Below are 15,020 nucleotides of genomic sequence, written 5' to 3' on the forward strand. Positions count from 1 at the left end.
CACTTGTAGGTGGACTTTTAAATTGAAACTCCATTTCTCTGCAGTGGCTCTTGACTCCTCAATTACCTGGTAGTGGATTGGCAGAGATGTGATTAATGGAGGAAATTGCCAAAATTAACCCCTGGAGGCCTTATGTGCTCCTCTGTGATATGAAGGGAGTGCCTCCGAGGTAGAGGAGCATGGGCTGGCGACAGCTTTGGTCCTGTGGGGCAGGAGACCTGGCATCTGGTTCGGGTCTCAGTCTCCCTAGCTGTAAAATGGGAGAATTGAACTCGTTCTCCAAGAGCCCATCTAATGACATTGTTCTAGGGTCTTCATGAGGGCTAAACAATCACATCAGTGTGTGCTAGAAATGCCTCCCACAGAGCAGTGAGCTCATTTCAAAGCAAAAAGCAGTTTTGGGATAACAGTCTACTGAGTGCCAGGCACAGAGCCAGGCACTGCAGGGGATTCAAACCTGAGTAGGAGAGGATATCTGTGTCCTACTTCCTCCTGGCCTCAGCCCTCTTGTTACTTTGGAAGTCCCTGGAGGACAGACACTGTCTGGAAGCTGATGCCAAGGTACCCTGGGCACTGAGTGAGGGAGAGGTGGCACCCCATTTGATTGGAAGGGGCAGCGTGTATAGACTGAGCCAGGCCTCTGGGGGAAAGGGAAGGTGAACATCCCAGGCATGGGGCATAGCCTGGGCCCAGGAAGAAGCTCAGGATGTGTTTGGGACCTGTTTTGACTGCCTGGAGCTCAGAGAGTGAGACCTGGAGGGTCAAGGCCAGGAAGGTGTGGGTATTTGGAGGCCTTGGTCTTATTTTAGACAGTAACACAAAGTGGCTCCAGCAGAGGCAGGGAGGTAAAGGAAGCCTCCACAAAGTATCCTATGGGCACCAGGGCGGGAGGAGCTGTTGGCCTTCAGGAGCTGCTGGTCACACGATTGGCCAGCCTGGGGGACCCGTCAACCTCTGCTTTTCTTATCATGCCCTTTTTACTCTTTTTTTCTACTTGAGGCTGGCTGGCTTGTGAGGAAAATGGCCACCCCTTCTCAGCTTGCCACAACCTAGACTGAGGAACCAGGTTTCTCTGGGGAGAGGATCTGATGGGTTCCACGTGGGTCTAATCGGATTTGACAAAAGAGGTGGAGTACTACTATGGGCAGAGCATGACAAACCCCTTTGCAGGATTGTGGGGGCTTGGCTGGCTGCCACTCTCCCTCCCTTCGGCTTTGGAAGCTTGGCAGAAGATTGCATGGATGTTTGTAGGCCATGGGGACCCGTGGCAGGTGGGGTCCGCCACATTTTAAAAAGGCTGTCTGACTCTAGAGTCATAAGTGGACACAATACGTAGGGAGGGAGCCAGAATAAAGCAAGAATATCCCAACCTTGTGAGGTCACAAACAGAGTCTCTTCCCTTAGCGTAAAGTGGCTTTCCGGGGAGATCCTGTCCTCAAATTCTCCCTTTCCCATGGCAATCAGCAAGGGGGTTTTCCTGGTATTTGTGGTCAGGTCTTGACCCATGGAAGCAGGCAGGTAGAGAAGACTAGTGACTCTCTACCCTGGAAGGCAGGAGACTGGGGCAGGAAGTTTGAGGCTTGGACTAAGAGGTGACCCTGTTGGCACAAGAAGGACAGCAGGGCAGGCAAGTGGAATCCCATCATCTTTGACCACCTGCCTGCTCCAGGAAGCAGGCATTTGCCCTGCTGGGATCTTCTGAAAGTGTGCAACCTTGAATGGAGCCAGAGAGGAGAGGAGTCTGTGCACTGGGAGGAGTGAATGGAATTCCGCTGTTTTGCAAACATTCCAAAGCAGCAGGAGCCTTCAGTCAAATGAGCCTCCTCCCCACATAAAGCAGAAAGACCTGGAGCTGCTGCAGGTGGGAGGCCTGCAGGCCCACTCAGGACAGCTGCGGAGGCCAGGAGGGGTGCCCCCTGCAGTTGTGTAAGGCACAATCAGCCCAGCCACACAGGCTGGCCCCAGCCCACTCCACTGGTTGTCCTGCCCTTGTCCCCAAGCCACATCCTAGAAGTTCACTGAAAACTCATCATCTGGATGAGGCCAAGTGAGGGTCACCAGCTTGGCCAAGAGCACCCCTAGATATCGATGACTAAGGGGGGATTCCATGCAAGACAGGGCTATATTGAGGTGACTGCATTTGGAAGTTTGGACAAAGACACTAGGCTTTAGCTTGCATTGCACTGATGCCCTCTTTGGCCCTGGAAGCCTCTGTGTTAAGAATCTTCTGGGGCTACCTTGTCCCTCTGGCCCCTGTGTCAAAGTGTCACCTGTGCACATGCTGGTGTGTGTGTGTGTGTGTGTGTTTTGAGATGCAGTCTCGCTCTATCACCCAGGCTGGAGTGCAGTGGTGCGATCTCGTCTCACTGCAGCCTCTGCCTCCCGGGTTTAAGAAATTCTTCTGCCTCAGCCTCATGAGTAGCTGGGATTACAGGTGTGCACGACCATGCCCAGCTAATTTTTGTGTTTTTAGTAGAGATGGGGTTTCGACATATTGGCCAGGGTGGTCTTGAACTCCTGACCTCAAGTGATCCTCCCACCTCAGCCTCTCAAAGTGCTGGGATTACAGGTGTGAGCCACCGTGCCTGGCCCACATGCTTTTGAACTGAGCACAAGTCATTCATTTGGATTATGTATTTCCCTTTCTTCTTAGATCTCATTGAAAACCCGCACTGGTGGGATTTGGGTTTTAGCATCACAGTAAGGGGCTCCCTCTGCCCTCTCTGGACCCCTGGGCACATCTAGTGCTGACCACCTTCTTTCCAGAATGCTGATCCCAGGGTTTCAGGGCCCTCAAAGCTCTGAGTGTCCCCTGTGATGCTGGCAGCATCACCCTTCTGCCCTAGCTAAGCCCCCTTGTCCCCAGAGCCCCTCTGCATGGTGGTGAGGAGGGAGCTGGGGCTGTTCATTCCCCCCCAATTAACCCTGCCTGCCTGAGGGGAGCACTGGCCCCGGAACCAATCTCAGCCTCCCTTCCACTAGTCATTAGTCTCCCCCGCTGCAGGTAGAGTGACAGGCAGGCTCAGGAGCTCCTGAAAAGGCCTTTGTTTTATCGCCTTCAGTTCAGATGCTTCAGAGCACTAGCAGGCCATATTTTAATCTCAGGTCTTTGCAAACAAAATCGTTAAAAGCAGATGGCTGTGAAGACTGCCATGAATATTAATAGATATTGAAAAAAAGGCCCCTTAATCTTTCCATAAATCTTTCTGAGGAGGTGGGGGAAGACTTGGAGATGAGGGCTGCAGTGTAGTTGCAGGTACCCTGGCCCTTCCTATCTGGGCTTGATCCTAATAACTGAGGAATTAGCACAAAGATAGGTGGTTCCAGCCCAGAGTTGGGCACTGAGATGGGCCTGGAGAAGCAGTCTTGGGCTTGCCATCTCCTGTCTTCCTTTCTCCTTCCCCTGCAGAGCTGGGCTGGGTGAGGACCCGGATCCTGCTCAGCACCCTCATTCATGCTGAGGCCAGCTGTGGATCGGCCCTGTTCTCTTGGTGCTCTATGTAACGATGCTGTTTGCTGTCACCCATTGTGTGCCAATTTCCACACCTGTCAGCCTTGCATCAACCTTTTGAGGTGGAATTATCATCCCCATTTCACAGATTAGGAAATAGACTCAGGAAATAGAAACAGCTGGCTCCAGATCACTGGGTCAGTAAGTGGAATGGAAGCGATCTGGACCCAGATCTGTTGGCCCTGAAAGCCTACGTGTTAAGAGTCTTCTAGGACCGCCATGTCCCTCTGGCCCTTGTGCAAAAGTATCACCTGTGCACCTGCTTTTGCACTAGACACCATTCATTCATTCATTTGGATTATACATTTCTCTCTCTCAGTTGTCTTTTAAAATGCAAACACTCCTGGGAGAGGTAACCTATTAAGTGGCTGAGAAATATTAAAAGCTGTTCAGCCGCATAATCCAGGACCTGAGTTGAAGTCTTAGCTCAGCCATTTCCTGGCTCCATGACCTTGAGGCAGCATTTAATTCCACAGAGTTCGTTTCCTCTGGAAAAATGTGGGAATAATGAAACAACCCTATGAGGTAGACAGACGGGGCAGGAATTTGAAGAGATCAAAGATAGGAAAGCACTTTGAAAACCACATACCATCATACACCTGCAGAGGAATACGGTCTTCATCGTTGTTGAAACACCTGATTCATTTCCCATCACTTTCATGGTGATATGAGGGAATAAGAACCAGGGGTGGGGAGAGGTGAAGCGGGCAGGGGGCACAGCCTGGTGGGAGTGGGGTGGTGGGTGGCAGGAAGGGACATGGCTGCTCTATGGAGCCAAGGGCATTGGTCCTAAGCTTTTCTTTTCCTGGCCAGTGGCTTTCCTTGCTTTATGCTTCAAATCTAATTCAGTCCATCTTCCTCCTTCCTCCCTCTCCACTCCTCCCTTCTTCTCTTCCCATTCCTCCCTTCCTCCCTTCCCTCCTCATTGTCTGTCTCTCTCTCTGACAACAAATGTTTTTGGATCACTTGCTAGTGTTCCAGGGGTGGGGAATCAATAGCAAACATGAGCAGTGTGGTCCCTGCACTAAATAAGTAACAAACAAATAGATCCAGCAGGTGCATACTGGATAAACACTTTGCGAGAAACAGACAGGGGACCCATTTTACATAGGTGGAGGCCTCTCTGTTTTCCCAAGCTGGTTCTACAAAGCTGACTTATGTTGGGATGGCACCCCATATGACCAAGGCTGGAAAGTCCTTAGAGGACACAGGTGAGAGCCAGACAGTGAGATGAACAGAAAGAGTGAGCCAAGGGAAGCATCTTTTGGTGTGCTGCTTTCACCAGGCAATGGCCCCCAGGCCCAGCCTCCTGGCCAGGCCACACCCCTCCCAAACTCCTCCTCTGTCTGAGTCCCATCCCCATAATGGCCCCTCCCCTGGCCTGGTTCTGCCCACAGGCACTCTTCTTATATAGGATAATCTGGCTGACCTGATACTCCTAGGAGTGGGTTTAAGTGAATCCCAAAGACTGAGAAGAGGAGAGTGAGGTGGGGGCCTAGGAGGGGCTCACTGCGGTTCTCTGGCTCTAAGTTTTCATGCACAGGGTTCACAGGAACCAGTTTTGAGAGAAAACTCAGAAATGGAAAAAGTAATCCATCACTTGAGTCCCATTAAACTGTTGCTATTCCAAATGCAACCTATTCTTGGAGCCTGAGTACAAAGAGGCAGAAACTTGTCACGTTTCAACAAACATACTTTATTATACTGTATAATTTAAGGTATCATTTTATTCAAGTGACATTCAAACGTGTGAAAAACGGTTGCATATGCCAGAGCCATTAATGAAATCATTACGTACAAATGGTTACGCTTTACCAAGTCATTCATTAAAAGTAAATTAATGAGGGGGACAGCATTAAGATATTTCACAATCATTACCAGGTCCAGCCTAACCCACTTTTATAAATATTCATCAACAAAAACGTGCCTCAAGAACTCACCCAGTAAATTAAATTCTCGTCTTGAAGTGTTTTGCTTCTATTAATGGCATCAACCGTGGTACTTTCTTTGATTTGTTTTCCGGAACTTTGGGATATATTGTACGGAAATAATGACAAACTCTGAGTAATCGCTGATAATTAGGCCAAATCTATTATTCCCATGGTATTTACATTTTGATTACTATTTTCCCCCCAAAGGCAATGTCTTGAATCTATTCTAATACAAGGCAAAATAGTATCTGAGATTTTCAGGGCTGGAAGGAAACTCAGAAATTAGCTAGTCCAGCCTTCACCTGATGTTTGAGTCTTCTGTCAACATCTCTGCCATGCAGCCCTTTGCTTTCTACTTAAATACCTCCAATGATAGGGAACCCATTATCTCTGTGGCCCATTCCATTCTTAGACACCTTTGATTATCATTACCTCTTGTTAACTTTCATGCACATTCTTAGCCCCGTGCATCTGGGTGGAATGAAAAATTCTTCACAAAAATGGGAAAGTTGTCCTGTAGGTATAATCACACTCTGGTCTTCCCTTAATTCTTTGGCCTCCAGCCTAAGCATTTCCAGGATATTTGAAACTTCCTCTAAGGAACTGAACTCCAGCCTCTTCTATTTCTTTCTCTTTTCTGCAGAGTAGGCCTTACCATGAAGTCCCTGCAAGATCTGGTCTCGAACTTTATCTTCCCATCACCCACAGTTTCTCTCTGTGCTTTAATCAGGTAATCCTGAACCATGGCTGGTGACCTTACACAGACTGCTCATTAACTTTTAGCCTTTACACAGGCTTTCCCCTCTGTCTGAAATGCTCTTTCCCCCTTTATCTACCTGGTGAACTCCTATTCATCCTGCAGAACCCCTGTTCAGTGGTCAACACCTCTGTGACACCATCCTTGATTGATTCCCAACCCCTCCCCATGACAGACTGATCACACCTCCTTCCTATACTACTTCTGTTCTTTGTAAATACTTAGTATTTTCCAAGGGAGTGGGAGAGAAGAAATGCTAGGTTCATGAAGGGTCTCTAGGTTAAACTTTCTTTCTTTTTTTTTTCTTAAAACAACACACTTATTATCTTACAAATCTGTAGAACAGAAGTCCTTTCTTTGGCTCATGGCCACCTTCCTTCATCTTCAAAGCCAGCAACATCGGGCTGATTCCTCCCAGATTGGACTTTTGATGTTATTCTCTAAAGAGGAGAGTTAGACTTGTAGCCTCAGAGCAACAACATTCAAAGAGAGATGATTATCCACGCTTACATTTTTTGCCCCATCGCCAGCCCATGTTACTTGAGTGCACTCTGAAATCACATTATTTTTTAAAATAATGTAGCTATCTTGGAAAGAGCATAATTTTTATTGCATTGTATTGATAAGGCTAAAAGCATTAATTTGTGAAATGTAAACATTTAAAATCATCCACGATGTAACTTTGTTTTGACCTTTTTTTAAATATAAAGGATTGATTATGAGAAGTTGGCTCAGCGATTGTTGACATTTTAAAAAACCATTACTAATGAAAACAAAATATGATAGTGGAAGCTTCTCTGGTCCCTAAGAAGTCGTGCTAAGTGCCCACACCACACGGAGTGAATTTCCCTGCTCGCTGTGTGTCCTGCTTTCTAGTCCACATACATCACACAGTAGTTAAGAGTGCACACTCTGGAATTAGACTGCCTGGGTTCATGTCTAGCTAGGGGACTGAGTGACTCTGGGCCAGTTCCTGACCTCTCTGTGCCTCCCCTTCCCCATCTGTAAAATGGGGGCTAATACTGACACCTGCCTCATCAGAGGCTGAGCTCACTAATGATACATCGTATGTCAAGTGCCTGGTGTGCAGCTGTGCTCTAAAAGCCTTCCCTAACACAATTGGCCTCAGCACAGCCCCTGGTCCAGAGGGTGGAGTCTGCATACATCTCCTGCAACTCTGCAGATCCCATAGTCTAGGCCCTTCATCTAGAAAAGCTGCTCCTAGAGATGGTGCACACTGCCCCCCTCTCCTGCAGGCTCCACGCATGGCCTCTCCTGGACACTGGGAGCATCCGTGTGGATGTCTGGAAGAAAATAGGGACCTATTACCAGCTGACATTTTCCTGCCTCCTTAGACAGGAACCATCAGATAAGGGTACTTCCATTTTCCTCTTGCCCTCAGAAAGGCACAGAATCGGCGGGGCGGGGGGGTCAAGTAAGATTTTCCCACCATCAGTGTGCTATCTATGGCTGCATTTAGTTTTATTTTTCATTAAGCAACAGCCTCTTAAGGAGAAGATCTCTTCCCTTCTTGTCTAGCAAGGAGCTGGAAGGACAGCCCTGCTCTTCTCCAGGTGAAATGGCTGGTCCCACCTCTGATCCCGAGCGACATTACTGCCCCAGTGCTGAGGCTCCTCTTGGGAGGAGGTGGGTGCTGTTGTGCTGGCAAACTCGGCGTTTTCCTCCTTTAACGGGAAGGCCTTCCCAATGGGTATCGAGTCCTCATTATCCTCTCCTGGAGGGGTCAGTTGAGAAGGCAGCATAATGCTGTATTGAGACCCTTTTTGGGGGAACAGGGGAAGGAGAGATTAAGGGATGTGCCCAAGGTCACACAGCTGTGGGATGCAGAGGCAGCATTTGAGGGCTGCTTTCTGTGGAGCAGATGAGAACTTCAGCTGCTAGGGGTGGGAGGGGCGACTTGTTCAGCAGAGTCAAGTGCTCCTCCTGGGCATGTTGTCTGCGCAAAGCTTAGGGAACCAGGTGTGTCTCTGTGTGTGCTGGTGGGAGCTGGTGGGTGGGATGGGAAGGTGGAGAGATGACTTTTGCAGTCTAATTGGCTCATTCCAAGGACAGCCTGTCACCAGAGGCAGGTGCCTTGAGACTCGGAGAGAGACGCCTCCTCACTCCCCCATGCCAGGTGGGGTACAGACAGAGACAGACTCAGCCACATGAAACTGCAGAGAGAGATAAACACAGAAACAACAAACAGAAAAAGGAACGTGAAGACTGGCCCAAGACATAGGGAGCCACAGGGGCAACTGAGAGAAGAGCTCACCAGCATCCAAAGAGATGCAAGTCAGAGAGAAATACCCAAGGCAAATGAGGCCTGAGAGAGTGGTCCAGACTTAGAGAGACAGGTGAGAAGCCAGAGAGATGCAACTAGAGACCTCGGAAGGCAGAGATGCAGGAGAGATCTTAACCCATGCACATGGAGGCGTGAAGATAGCAAGACAAGGAGAGAGACAGAGCCAGCCACACAAACCCTCTTATTCCCAGGAAGAGCAGCCAAGGAGATGAGAAAACAGTTTGCTGAATGAAGCCCGGCAGACCTCGAGAGAGTCAGTCCCCTAATGGTCAATCAGCGCATGACTCAGAAATTGGGGCTGGTGAGTCTGTGGCGGCAGAGAGGGTGCTGGGGTGAAGGCCAAGCCTTCCCTCTGCACCTGGACGAGGTGCCCAGAGCCCAACCCAAGGGTGGGTAGTACAGACCTTGCACCCACCTGCTCCTGGCCATTTTACTGAGCCTCAGCAGTGGCGATGATCATTGTCAGGAAGGTCCCAGCCCTGATCCCCATCTGCCAGCTCCAGCTTGGCTTGCAGGGAGCAGACAGCCTGCTCTGTTGTGCCGGCTCCTGGCTGCACAGCCTGCTGTCGCTCTGGCCTCCCCACAACTCTGCCCCTCAGAAGCTTCTGAGGGGAAGGAGGAGAGGGAGCGCTGCATGTTTAGGAGATATGGCATAGACAAACCAGATACACCAGAATGGTCACGTTACTCTGCAAGCATAAATTGAGCTCAGGCAACAGGCACTAGGTAAGTGTTTGCATGAAGGTGCAACCTGTTTAAAAGGAACCTTAACTGGTCTGGGCCAGTTGTAATGAGAGAGCACCTTGTAAATGGGAGAGCATAGCCAGGTGAGCTTGGCAGCTGTCAGATTAAAAATCAGTTTTGACCAAAATAAATCTATTATGGTTCTAGAAATGCCCCCTGGACCAGGAATGCAGAACAGGGGCTGTGTGACTTTATTCCCCATCATCTCTTCCACACCTGGCACTGAATGGGCACTGAATCCGTTGAAGACTGAATGAGTTCTAACATGTCCATCCATATTAATAACTAAGATTTATCTAGTGCTTGCTACAGGCCAGACATTTGGCCAAGCACGTTGCATTATATCTAATCCGGCAATGCCTCTAAGGGATAGGGACTCTTACATTACATTTTACAGTTAGGAAAGTGAGACCCACTGGGGCAAAGTGATTTTTCCAAGATTACAAGTGGGAAATGATGCGGCTGGTCTTGGTACCTGGGTTGCCTGAATCTAGATATGGCAATCTTGCAGTGCCATTGGGCAGCTTTTCATAAAACATTGTTCTAGTTGGCACAGTTTTTCATACCTGTTACCTGAATGGCTTTGCAAACCAGTTAGCTCTAAGCTGCCCCCATCTCTGGGTTGGCTACTGCAGCAGCCTCCTCCCTGGTCCCCTGACTCCCCTTCCGCCCCTCCAAATGACTCCCCCTGGCAGCAGCCAGGGTGACCTCAGCAGGCAAGTCTCATTAGAGTGTCTCAGAGAACCGGTGCTTCCCATTGCTTGTGGGGTAAGGACATAGTTCCTGAATGCAGCCCACCAGACCCTACCAAGCACACGGCCTCTTAACCAGCAGCCATGAGCTATCAGGGGGCTGAGAAATCAATGTCATGGCTTGTGACCTTAAAGCAAAGACATAGAATGAGCTAGAATAGAAATAGAATAGAAACTCTCAGAGAGGTCACATTTAATGTGGCAAGAATAACTGCTTCATCAGTCTTTTTGAAGTGGATGTATGCAGGTAATTACACATGTATGCACATGTGTGTGTTCTACGTTCCGGGTCAGCAAGCAAAATGTGTTTCTTACCATAGGGCATCATAAAAAATGTGGGAATTCAGTCATATAGGAGCTCCTGATCTAAGCTCATGCAGCCCACACCCCTTTCCTCTTAGCTCACAGCCACATGGTCAGCTTTAAGCCCCTTTCAGCTTTAGTTAAAGACACAGGGCTTTTGCCTGGAATGTTGTTCCTGCCTCTTCATTTAGATAACTTGACCATTCTTTCTTTCTTTCTTTTTTTCTTTTCTTTCTTTTTTTTTTTTTTTGAGAAAGAGTTTCACTCTTGTTGCCCAGGCTGGAGTGCAATGGCACGATCTCAGCTAACTGCAACCTCTGCCTACCGGGTTCAAGTGATTCTCCCGCCTCAGCCTCCCCAGTAGCTGGGATTACAGGCACCTGCCACCATGCCCAGCTAATTTTTAAAAAATATTTTTAGTAGAGACAGGGTTTCATCATGTTGGCCAGGCTGGTCTCAAACTCCTGACTTCAGGTGATCCACCTGCTTAGGCCTCAAAGTGCTGGGATCACAGGCGTGAGCCACTGCGCCCAGCCTGACCTCATTCTTTCAATCTCAACTCAGGCACCGCTTCCTCCATGAGCCCTCCCTGGCCCTCCCCACCCCGACCCTCACCCAGTATCCACCCACACAGCACCAGGGACTTCCCCTTTATAGCGTTTCTCACTGCTGCACTTTGACATGTGCTCAAGTACTTATTCCACTGATGGCAGACCCCCCACTAGTCTGTGCTCCATGGGGATGTCACCTAGGGGAGGACAGCCTGTCTTAGAGTGCCCGATGGGGTCTGGGACAGGTTTATTTTTGCTAACCATCGTTCCCTGTGTCTAGCTAGCACCATGTCTGGAATATAGTAGGTGTTCAACAAATGCATGGAGATTGAATGGATCTGGAGAGGCAGAGTACTGCTGTGATCTTTATAGATGAGGAAGTGGAGCCCCGGAGAGCCCTAGAATGATGCGCTTAATGCCCCAGCCAGGTTAATCTCTAGAAGCCCTTCTGCTCTTCACTCCCACCATGGCATTTCGCAGTCCCCAAAGTCTGGCTTGAGGTGTCAGTCTGAGTCCTCCCTCACTCTCCCTGCCCTCCTCACCCTCTTGTCCACAGCTCCCTCCCACTGTGGCCTCTGGGCTCCTTTTCCCTCTCCAGCTGGCTGACATAGGGGGTGGCTGGGGGAGGCACAACTCAGAAAGTGACAGCGACAATATTAGGAGTGAAAAAGATCAATTAAGCCCATCGAGCTGATTTGTGAAGCTGATTAAATTAGGAGCCTCCCTGGGGGCAGAGGCTCTCTCAGGTTGATAGACCCAGCTGCTGGCTGCTGTAGGGTCCTTGCCAGCCCCCAGGGTGCAATGGGGGCCACTTTGTCCTGCTCTGTCCACGGAGAGGGGATGAGGGGAAGCTCCCTTTAGAAAGCCCTGGCAGGGCCAAGCTCAGCACCCAGCCCATGGTCCCCTGTGCTTTCTTATAGAATCCCCTGCAATCCTGGGGCACTGAGTAGATTGGCCTGACTTTAAAATAAGATCCTGGGCCTCAGAGAGCTTAGGTGGCCTATGCGGGGCAACCCAGCTGGTAGGCACAGGTAAGTGCTGGACCTGGGACTGGAAACCAGGTCCTTCTGTTCCCTATGTGTTCTGTCCTCTCCTTGCCCTGTCCCCATATCCGGCTTCAACATCTCGGTCTATTACTCTATTTTTCCAGTCTCAAGGCTCCTGTCCCCACTGCCCACCCCCTCCCCCTTTGACTGGCTCTAATCAGATTAGCTCTCCAGTAACCCGATCCCTCTGCCCTGGTCTCAGGATTCCCTTTCATGGACTGTCTCCAGGGCAGCTGTGGCCAGAATATTCTTCCAGTACTTCAGAATCCATCCGCTTCTCCTGGCTTCTGGGTGGGGGCTGGGGAGAGGGATTTGGACAAAGACTCTAGTGTGTGTAGGGGCAATGAACCCTGGGGAGGTTACAGAAATGAGGTCGGCTTCTCCAGAGTGCACGAGCTAGGGAAGGGAGCGCCTTGAAAGCCAGGCTGCAGAATTTGGCCATCCTCAAACACCACCTTTAATGGCAAAGGAGGGATGGGAAAACTCCTGAAGACCAGGTAGCCATGGAGTGCTACATTTCTGGATGGAAAGGGGACCACACAGGTGACACTTGGAGTGGCAGGTGCCCGGGAAGGAGTGCTGCGTGTGGGTTGGGGTGGGGTTTGAGGTGGGAGAACAGAGGAGGGCTTCACTCAGGGGTGGGCTTGGGGCTGGGTCAGGAAGAGGACTGACAAGCCTGGAGGGGTGAGAGTATTTCAAAGATCCCTGAGGGTCCTTTAGCTCTTGGCCAGAGATGGGGCTGCAGGGGGAGAAACTGACCCTTAGACAGGGCCTGATTTCTCTCTCTCTCTCTCCCTCCCTCCCTTCCTTTCTTTTCTTTTTTTGAGACAGAATCTCACTCTGTCACACAGGCTGGAGTTCAGTGGCACAATCTCGACTCACTGCAGCCTCCGCCTCCTGGGTTCAAGTGATTCTCCTGCCTCAGCCTCCCGAGTAGCTGGGATTACAGGCATGTGCCACCACAATTGGCTAATTTTTGTATTTTTAGTAGTGATGGGGTTTTGCCATGTTGGCCAGGCTGGTCTCGAATTCCTGATCTCAAGTGATCTGCCCACCTCGGCCTCCCAAAGTGCTGGGATTATAGGCACAAGCCACTGTTTCCAGCCTGATTTCTTATACCTAGGTCTTCTTTCTTCCTTAGAGCAAGTCTGTGACAAATCTATAATTAATTTAAAAAAATACACACAAGCAAACACGGGCTCAGAGTTGTGTAGATGTAAGTGGTAGAATCAGAACTCACACCTAAGTCTACGGGGCCTTCGGAGCCTGGGACCTTCCGTGGACTAACTGCTAAAACTTCTGCAGTCTCGAAGTCAGGGGGCAGAGCTAGGGAGCCCCACAAGCCTCAGAGGGCCAGATAGGCTGGTGGTTAGGAGCACAGGTTTTAAAATTAGACTGAGTTCACTCTCCTGGCTCTGCAGCTTGCTTGCTGTCTGGCCTTGGCCAAGTTAATTTGCCTTTGTGTAGTTTACTTTCTTTCTCTATAAAGTGGGGATATTAATAGTACCTACCTCATGGGGTTGTTGTGAGGGTTAAATAAATGTACTCCCATGAAGAATTCCGAACAGTGTTGTCATTTGATAAATGTCAGCCATTCTTACTCAGGATGGAGCCAGGATATAGGGGCATTAGGCCAGGCCAGGGAAGGCAAAGACCTCTAAGCCAGTGCTCCCTGCTGTCTTCACATGTCTGTGAGTCTGAGCTACCTGTGCTGGTGGGGCCTGGGCTGTCTGGCTGCCCAAAGTGGCTGACACCCATAAGTCATTGTCCATCTCCAGATTTGAGTCCTACAGCCTCTTCCCATCTAACTGGCATGGAAACTGAGGCTCAGACAGGTTGCCGCAGATCTGCTCTTTGATTTGGGGCAAGTTAGTCCTAGAGCCCTACCCCCAACCCAGAATCTGAATCCTGGTCCGGGGTCTCTAAATTACCCTGCAACTGGTTTAATTTTTTCCAGGCGGACGCCATCCTCATGGCAGAAACATTTTTTCTGTAATCTTATTTGCAACTGCTAATGAGAAGCAGGGCCGCTTTCTGTTTCTAAACCTCATCCACATCTCTAATTTGTTTCCAGAGGCTGGGGCTGAGGCTTCTTCCATCTCTGTGAAATATTAGCAATTATTTCTCAATTACTTCTCATGGGGAAGGGATTCTTGGAGACGGAAATCTGGAAGCTGGGAGAAGCCATAAGGATGATGTTTTGATCTGACGTGAACCTTGCCGAGAGGCACACATGCTCTGTCATCCCTGCTCCAACTTGAAGGCTAGGCTGGGTGGCATATGACTCTGTCCCCGTCTCTTTCCTCACTGAGCCTCCGGCCCAGCTTGGTTCCCAAACATGGAGCTGCTGCAGGTCTCAGAAGCCACAGAGAACTGGGGAGGGAAAGGGAGGAGAAAAGTCTTCTTTGTAGTCTCACTAAACGCAGCTCTGTCACTACAGCTTATAGGATCACAGGCCTTAGGGTCATCCTTGGCTCTTTCTCTCACACCACAAACCCAATCTATGAGTGAATCCTCTGGGTTCTACCTTCAGAATCCATCCAGAATCTGACTGCCTCTCACCATCTCCACGGCTCCCTTCTAGTCCAAGCCAGCAACATCATCCACCTGGATTATTCAGTAACACCCTGACTAGTCTGCCTGCTATCACCCTTTGCACAGAAGCCAGGGGGATTGTTTTGGAATTCCACTTTTCACGCAACTATTTGTCCTTTTAGCTATAGTACTTTGCATTTTTTAAAGTGGTTTTTTTTTCAGTTCTAGAGATTACACATATGTCCTTAACTTTTCACAGTCAGTTTAGAGTTAATACTTTATCACTTTATGTAAAATATAAACCTCTTACAAATATTTGCCATCCCCATTGTATGCTATAGTTTTCATATGCATTACATCTATATACATTATAAACCCTATAAGACAATGTTATCATTTTTGCTTTAGTTATCTGCATATTAAGGAAATTAAGAGGAAAATTAACTTATAATTTTATATATTTAGCAATATTTTACCATTTCTGATGTTTTTTATTTTTTATTTTTCTTGAGGATCCAGTGCCTCTTTGATTTTATTTTGCTTCATTCTGAAGAACTTCTTTTAGTATTCTTATAGTCCATGTCT

General features: G+C 49.0%; 1 annotated feature.

The window, feature by feature from the left end:
• Nucleotides 11,142-12,073: an enhancer, noted in NCBI's record as "H3K27ac-H3K4me1 hESC enhancer chr10:80052421-80053352 (GRCh37/hg19 assembly coordinates)". NCBI's record gives its function as "activates a minimal SCP1, AML or CMV promoter by ChIP-STARR-seq in naive H9 embryonic stem cells {active_cell/tissue: H9 hESC(naive)}" and the evidence as "EXISTENCE:reporter gene assay evidence [ECO:0000049][PMID:30033119]".

Source organism: Homo sapiens, chromosome 10 (assembly GCF_000001405.40).
Source record: "Homo sapiens chromosome 10, GRCh38.p14 Primary Assembly".
NCBI classification, from domain to species: Eukaryota; Metazoa; Chordata; class Mammalia; order Primates; family Hominidae; genus Homo; species Homo sapiens.